Consider the following 9,062-nt stretch of genomic DNA (forward strand, 5'->3'; position numbering starts at 1 on the left):
AATATGAATGAAGTCCTTAGAAGAAGAGGAAATTTGAGCATGGGCAGGGACAGAGAGGAGACTATGTGAAAACACAGGAAAAAGATGGCCATTTACAAGTCAAGGGAAGAAGCCTTAAAAGAAACCAACCCTGGTGACACTTTGATCTCAGACTTTAATTTTCCAGAATTGTGAGAAAAAAAAAATTCTGTTGTTCAAGCTACCCAGTCTGTGGCACAGGTATACCACATTTTATTGCAATTCAATTTATTGCTCTATGCAGATATTACATTGTTTACCAATTGAAGGTTTGTGGCAACCCCACATTGTAGAAGTCTCTCAGTGACATTTTTCCAACAGCATGTTTTCGTGTCATGTCTCTGTAACAGTTTGGTAATTCTCACAATATTTCAAACTTTTGCAATATTACTAAATCTCTTATTATGATCTGTGATCAGTGATTTTTTATGTCACTCTTGTAATTGTTTTGGGGTGCCACAAACCACATCCATATAAGATGGTGAAGTTTTGTGTATGTTCTGACTGCTCCACCTGCCAGCCATCCTCCTTCCCTCACGTCTCCATCACCAACAGTCCTCCTCCCTCTCTTCAGGCCTCCCCATTCTCTGGCACATAGCAATATTGAAATTAGGTCAATTAATAACCCTGCAGTGGCCTATAAATGTTCAATTGAAAGGAAGAGTCACTTTAAATCAAGAGGTAGGAATAATTACCTAGAGGTAGGAATAATATTAGATAAATATTAGAGGTAAGAATAATAATGAGGAAAGCATGTCCAAAGCCAACATAGCTAGGCCTTTTATGTGAAATACAGTCAAGCTGTAAATGCAAAAGAAAAATTCTTGAAGGAAATTAAAAGTGCTACTCCAGTGAACACATAAATGATAAGAAAGTGAAACAGCCTTATTGCCGATATGGAGAAAGTTTTAGTGGTTTGGATAGAAGATCAAACCAGCTACAAACTTCCCTTAAGCTAAAGCCTAATCCAGAGCAAGGCCGCAGCTCTCTTCAATTTTATGAGTCCTGAGAGCAGTGAGGAAGTTGAAGAAGAAAAGTTTGAATCTGGCAGTTGTTCAAGAGATTTAAGAAAAGAGCCCATCTTCATAAAATAAAAGTGCCAGGTGAAGCAATAAGTTCTGATGGAAAAGCTGCAGAAAATTAACCAGAAGATCTTGCTAAGATAATAGATGAAAGCCATTACACTAAACAAACAATTTTCAAGGTAGACAAATTGCCTTCTATTGGAAGATGCCATCTAGGGCTTTCTTAGCTAGAAAGAACTCAATGACTGGCTTTAAAGCTTCAAAGGATAGGCTAACTCTTGTTAGGAGCTAATGCAGCTGGTGAGTTTAAGTTGAAGCCAGTACTTATTTAGTTGAAGCCATTCCAAAAGTCCAAAGGCCATCAAAAACACTACATTTACTCTGCCTCTTCTCTGTAAATAGAACAATGTTTAGATGACAGCACATCTGTTTATACCATGATTTACTGAATATTTCAAGTCCACTGTTGAGACCTACTCCTTCAAAAAAAACAAAAGATTTCTGCATATTGACAAGGTCACCCAAGAGCTCTGATGGAGATACACAAGGAGATGAATATTGCTTTCATTCCTGCCTACACAACATCCATTTGGCAGCCCATGGATTAAGGAATAGTTTTGACTTTCAATTGCTATTATTTAAGAAATACATGCCATAAGGGTATAGCCGAGATACAGTGATTCCTCTGATAAATTTGAGCAAAATGAATAGAAAACCTTTTGGAAGGGATTAACTATTTAGATACAATTAAGAACATTAATTTTCATGGGAGGTGGCCAAAATATCAATATTAATAGAGTGTGGAAGAAGTTGAATCCAAACCACAGGGCTGACTTTGAGGGGATTCAAGACTTCCGGGATAAAGTTACTGCAAATGTGGGGGAAGTTGCAAGAGAACTGGAGTACAAGTAGAGCCTGAAGATGGAAACAAATTATTCAATCCCATAATAAAATTTGAATGAATGAGGGGTTGCATCTTATGGATGAGCAAAGAAAATGGTTTCTTGAGATGAAACTTATTTCTGGTGAAGATGCTCTGAACACTGTTGAACTGACAACAAAGTATTTAGAATATTCTATAAACTTATCTAATAAAGCACCAGCAGGGTTTGAGAGGATTGACTCCATATTTGCAAGAAGTTCTACTGTCGGCAAAATGCTGTCAAACAGCATCACATGCTACAAGAATATATTTTTTGAAAGGAAGAGTCAATCAATGTAGCAAACTCTATTTTTTTCTTGTTTTAAGAAATTGTTGCATCCACTCCAAACTTCAGCAGCCATCACCCTGATCGGTCAGCAACCATCAACCTGCTAGATCTACCAGAGGTCTGACCTACCAGAAAAAAGATCACAACTTGCTGAAGGTTCAGAATATTCTTAGCATTTTTCAGGATAAAGTATTTTTAACATAAGGTATGTACATTTTATTCTTAGGCATAATGTTATTGCACCATAAATATACTACAATATAGTGTAAATATAACTTTTTATATGCACTGGGAAATCAAAATATTAACGTGACTAATTTTATTAGAATGTTTGTTTTATTGTGGTGGTCTGAAGTCAAACCTTCCATATCTTAGAGTTATGCTTGCACTGTATTATGGAAGCCCTAATAAACCAATAGGTAATGGTACTTACTACCAGGGATCGCTTTTAGCATTAGCTGAATTAATGTACGTAAAATCAATTAGAGTAACGTGTAGCATAGAGTAAGTATTGATGTTATTATAATTGTTATTAAAATTATAAACAACACTTTGTTTTGGGATTTTTCTTCCTTAGGGGTTCTTTAAACTTTAATATTCTCCTACATATTTTGCCCCTTTAAGATTAGCTCAATGGCTACATCTATGAAAACTTTTAAGAGTTGACATTTTCCTCCTTTGATTATCACAGTTGTCATATCGCATTGCAGTTATTTGATCATGTGTAATTTTTTGCCTATATGGGAAATTCTCTGAAAGCAATGATATTGCCTTATTGGTCATTATATGTCCTGTGTCCATTACAGTGCCTGCCAGTTAAAAACAATATGAATTCAACCAGGAGATTGAATTCATATTATTTATAAAGTGTCATAAACCTTACATAAAATACATAGGAATTGTATATTTTTTCCCTAGAGAGTCCAAAATTTTTTCAAATTGTTCAAGATTAAATTATTTAAGATTAAATTCTTTAAATTATTCAAATTATTTAAACATTTTATGAATCACTAATTTAGTGTTTAGATATCAGAACTTGGAGAATAAAGGATCTAAGAAATGTCGATGACTTTGGGTTGAATCTTGGTAGATTGTACCATTCACTAATCCCCATCAGTTAGGACAGTGCCTGGCATGTAATAAGCATTGCACCGAGTGCTGGAAATAGAAAGCCAAATGAGGAAATGTGCTTGTCTTACAAAGAGCTAAAGTCTGGTCAATAATTCAGCACAGTACAGTGTGAATGCCAACAGAGAAGGGCCCTTCATGCCTTGGGAAAAAAGAGAAAGAGGAGTTAGTATCCGCTTGGATGAGGATTGAGTGGTGTCGGTCAAGGTGCCCCTTTGGTGACACTTGAACTTAAGTTTTAGAAAATGAATAGCAGAGATCTAGGCAAAGTAATAAGAGGGAAAAAAGCACTCTAGGAGGAGTAAAGCACAAGCATGAAGGAACAGAAGTATGCTTCTGGGACCCTGCAAGTAGATCAGATGGATTGAAAGGAAGGATATTATGTGGATATCTGTAGGTATATGTGGTTTAACACCGATACTGTAGGTTTGCATGAAAGGTAATTAGTCAATATTAGTTTAAAAGCTGTGAGGAGCCATTGGAGGATTTTAAGCCATGCAGTCACATAATCGTGCCTAGTTACTGTATAATTCAATGGACCAACAGCTGAGTTTGGGAGCTCAAAGGGAGCAACACGGTAGTAGATAGACAACCTACTTTTACTGGGAAAAACTTGGAGCATCTATCTGGGTTTGAAATAATAGCATCCCAGGAGCTCTATTTCCTCCTGATTCCTGGCTAATGATGAAACACATTTGAGGAGTATCTGGAAATTTTCACTGAAAAACAGCCCCTTTAAGAGAACTCCACACTTTAAGAGTAGAGATTGTCAAGAATAAATAGCTTCAAATGAAAATCCTGTTACGCAGCTAAGAAATTCAACTGTGGCCAATCTCAATTAACTACAATTTTAAGTATATAGTCTAGAAGTTCTTAACTTAGTTGAAAAAAGCAGAAACAAACCCTTGGGGAATCAGTAAGGCAGTTAAAATCAGATTAAAATACTTAAACTAATGATGAAACTTGGAGGAACTTAGTATAAGAACCTAAATAATTAAAAGTTTAAGAAAGAAAGGCAGTTTCAGTGTTTTTTTTTTCTCTCCTTTTCCAAAAAACATTTAAGTATATCATTAAGTAGCAGGCACCCTGCTATGAACAATTCAATGTGTGCACCCAGGATTGAGAGACACTGCATTAGGCAGAAATTGCACTCAAAAAAAATGAGCCAGGCCACAGTAGTCAAGATGAATCTAGAAAATGTCTCCTAACAGACCTCCAGACAATGCTGGGTGTAAATGGGAGGTCTGCTATTCTCTTGGCTTTCAATAGGAATTACTGATGGGCCTTCAAAGCCTCACCCCTCTTACCGGTGAAGTGGTGATAACAAAACTTACCTTACTCCCTTCACTGAGTTGTCCATTTATTTATTCAATAAATATTCTATCATGTTAAGAATCATGACATGTCAAGCTCCAGTGATGTAGAAGCATAGTCCCTATCTTCATTGATCTCCCTCCATGTTGTGATAAACGCATACATAAAGTGTTAAGGCAATGTAAATGATGCTCTTAAAGATGTGTATAAAGCCTATGGGATTACAGCAGGAGCAGCTAACCAGATGGGGAAACGAGAAAGTGGTATTTAAATTGGATGAGTAAATTATGGGAAAGGTACCACACAGAATGTGTAGACTGACAGGGACCCTGGGCACTGATGTAATTGAAAAATAAAAGTGATCTGGTGTGGGATGCAATGTAGAGCAGTGCGGGATCAACAAGAAGTGAGCCCAGAAAGGTGGAGGTGGTTTACACTGTGAAAGGCCTTATGCATATCAGGGTGGGGAGTCTGGGCTTGATCCCAAGGGTTAATTTGAACCTAAGTGCTTTAGATAAGAAGTAACCATTCCTGGATTTTAATTTTAGAACTATGATTATAATGGATATGTGTATTATATTAAATTATAATAAATCAAAATATAATACTTCTGTTTAGTGGAGATCATAGTATGCCAGGGGAGCAATAGTGACTAAGACAACTTCTACATATGACAAATAGCTATTACTTTTCTTAAGATGGCTATGCTGCCTCTCATTCTTCCAAAATTTCTCTTCATTTAACATAAATTATTGTCCTACTATTCTTCTCTAGAGTGATGCTTCTGAGGCTCTTAGAATAATAAAAAATGACTGATTGCTTCAGTAATAATTTCAATTTATTGGATGACAGTCATGCATCCAGTGCTATGCTGAGAATTTTGATATATATATATATCATATTTATTTCTCCAACAAAACTGCAAGAAATGTAGCATGGTAGCAGTAGTGAGAGTTAGCTCATATACCACTGTATGCCAGGTATTATTCAAAGCACTTCACACACAGGAACTCATTTGAACCTCAGAATAACCCTATGAGATATGTTATATTTGTATTTTACAGATGAGAAAACTGGAGGACAAAAGGGACATAAAACTTGCCTAAGGTTACACAGCCGGTAAGTGTGAAGTGGCAGAATCAACATTTGAAACCTGCAGTCTGAATATGATAAGTGTTCTTAGCCTTAATGAGGTATTTGTACAAAAGTACTCCCATTAAAATACATATAAAAAAAGGCAAACAAACAAAAAGTGAGGGTTTATGCAACTTCCCTCTATTTAGTTAGTAAATGGAGTAGTAGGAATCAAACCTGAGTCTTTTGTACTTGGCACTTTTCAGGACACCAAGTGCTTCCAATTGTGTATTCTGCATACACACACACACACACACACATACACACAGTAAGCCTATATGACTTGCCCATTTTCTAAGTTAATCAGGAAAAAGAAAAACATTGAAAAAGATCTTTGAGTAGAAAACTATGTGACATTTCACATTAGAAATAAAAACTTCATCTGTTCACTGCTATGTCCATAGAAAAGAGAATCGTGCCTGTACACAGTTGATAATAAATATTTGATAAGTAACTATCCCAGAGGGTTTTCAGAATGTATCCCCTGGGAATGAGGAGAATATATTATATGTTTCTTCAAAACATATATTCAGAAAATAGATACAAACGAACTATTACCTACGGGCAAGTACAGGAAATGTATGTAGTAAAATGGGAGATGAAAAGCTTCAGAAAGCAGAGTCCTTCCCTTAAGGAATTTTCAGGGAAGAAAGCCACTTAAACCATTTATATCTATTTATCTCTTTTTATATCTTTAATCATTTATATGATTTTTATATCTTCAGTCAAAGACCAAGAACCTGTATCTGATGGAGAAAGGTGTCTTTAAGTGCTATAAAGTAAAACTCATTATTCAAGGTAATAACAGTTAAGTAAGTTCAAAGTGAGCATATGTAGTACAGGCACACTTTCACATACCCAACACTCTTGTCATAGCAGACAATACTTTCTGGTTTCCAACCTCCTCACTGAAATATTCCCAGTACTATATCCCTAAGCCCTAAGCAACAACTTTTTTTTTTTTTTTTTTTTTTTAGAGTTTTTCAGTTTTATTCTTCTAGAGCACAATTTTCCGGCCTGTTACTGAGTACGGTCTTCTAACAGGTACACAATTAACTCATAAGTAGACAACACAATGGCAGTATTTGGGATCCGCCGGATAAGCTGGGCAAACAGTCCTCTATAAAAGGCGAGGTAGCCTTCTTCCTGGAACACCAGGCGCGCCGTCTGGACAAAAGACTTGTACTTGGTGCCCTCTTCCCGGAGCCTCGTCCTTATAACTTCGTGTGGATAAGCAATGCAGGAGGCACAGCCCTTAGAAAGAGCAGCAGCTGCCATAAGTCCAAAAAAACTTGTGGAATTTTTCTCAGTCCCATTTGCAGAAGAGGCTAATGGAGCTTCTTTCAGATACTTCTTTAAACTTTCATAAATAGCAAAGCAGATTATAGTTTCGGAAATTCCAGCATACGAGGCAGTTAATCCTCTATAGAAGCCACGAATGCCTTCGGTCTGGTAAACGTAACGAGCACACTGGAGTGTATTCACCTGCTTAAAGCCCCTCACTTTCTGTTCTAGCTGCATTCGGGTTTTAACCATCCATATAGGATTCATTAAGGAATTTGTGATAAAAGCTGCAGAGCCAGCTGAGAAAATATGCACAATATTGCTGTTAGGCACGAAAATGCCATTAAATTGCTCTTTGGCTTTGGAGTAACATGCAAAGTATACAGCCCTTGATGGTGCAACTCCAACCAAATTTGGACCCAAGCCTCTAAAAAGTGACTTTGGTCCCTCTTTCTCCAAGATCGACTTCAGAACCTGAAAGAGTCCAGGTGTCACGGATGTTGGTCTCACCATTCCAGCTCCACTAATGGTCCCCAGATGAACCTGAGGATAGTAGACTGTCCGGAGAGCTAATCTTAAAGACTGCAACCGTGTCTTAATGACTTCTAGTGGACAAGTGAAAATAGCACCAACTGTGCCTCCACACCCGCCGGCGAAGAGGTGAAGCAGCGTGTTCTCCTTCTGCTGGCCGCCCGTCGCCATGGCCGCGCCGGCTCCGCGGCCCGTCGCCGCCCGGTGGCGAGAGCGCGTGGCGGCTCGAGGGATGCGCGGAGGTCGCCGGGTCTTGTCTCCACGCTGCCCTCAGGGGGCTGCCGGCAACGCCTCCATGCGCGCGCGGGCTCCAACGCCCGGCTCTGCTCAGCCCGCGCCTTCCGCGGCGTGGCCGCCCGCGCCTCACCGGCCTCTGCGGCGCGAGCCCGGCGGGGGCAGCATCAACTTTCATGTGACATTAATAGCCTTACTGCTCTCCCCCAACTGTGGTAGATTTCAGTTGATTCTGAGAATTACAGTGGAAAAGTTTATCATATATCTACTATCTGTACAGATATAGAACTCTTTTATTTTGAATGACAAGTCTTTCCCCCGACAAGAGGATATCATTCCTATTGTGCATAAGGCCCTTCAGACACAAACTCTAACACTTGTAGCCTCCCCAGTAATTGACATGGTTTGGTAGGAATCCAGAGGAATTATTCTTTATGTAATAATCTACATGATAATCTTCATGTAATAACCTACATGATAATCTGCATATGAACAGGCAAGGTTTCCACCTCTGCTTCAGAAAATGAGAAAAATGAATGCTTAGTTTGGTGCTTATAAACTAAAACAATAGTAGAAAAGTGGGCAGCAAGAACAAAATAGCAAAAATCTATGGGTATCAGCCCAAAGTATTTGAATTTATTCTGTATGTAATATATATGCAGTGGAAGACTATTGCCCTTTGAAGAGTGGAATTGTGTGAAAAAATAGTGCATAGAAAGAATTATATGGAGGTGTTACGCAGATTGGATTTTGTTGTCGTTGTTGTTGTTGGAGGGATTAGAGGCAGAGGACCAATACATATGATGGGGCTAAGTACCTATGGCCCATACTAAATGTAAGAAAAATCAGAGGTCATATCTGTAGATAAGACAAGAAAGCAAAGAAGGTAAAAAATATGTGAACACAGAGATGCCATCTAAAAGAAGCAAAATTCTCTATGAATTATCTATGAACTCAAATGCTTCTTTCCAAAGAACAGCAAATATTCTATGCATGACTAAGAGTATTTATGGTTTACAATTATAGAAATATACAGAACACCAATACACAAATAATTTATGCAATAATAACACTAATATCATTGGCAATTTAGATAAGAAAAAGCATGATGTGTTAAAGTCTAGCTTAATGAACAAAGAAGATAATGTAAAACATTCTTCAGAGAGCAAATTCAACTGAAGCT

General features: G+C 37.8%; 1 pseudogene; it reads right to left on the reverse strand.

Annotated features, from left to right (window-relative positions):
* On the reverse strand, positions 6,805–8,040 carry LOC653698 (solute carrier family 25 member 33 pseudogene; annotated as a pseudogene).

This window comes from Homo sapiens, chromosome 11, assembly GCF_000001405.40.
Source record: "Homo sapiens chromosome 11, GRCh38.p14 Primary Assembly".
NCBI lineage: Eukaryota > Metazoa > Chordata > Mammalia > Primates > Hominidae > Homo > Homo sapiens.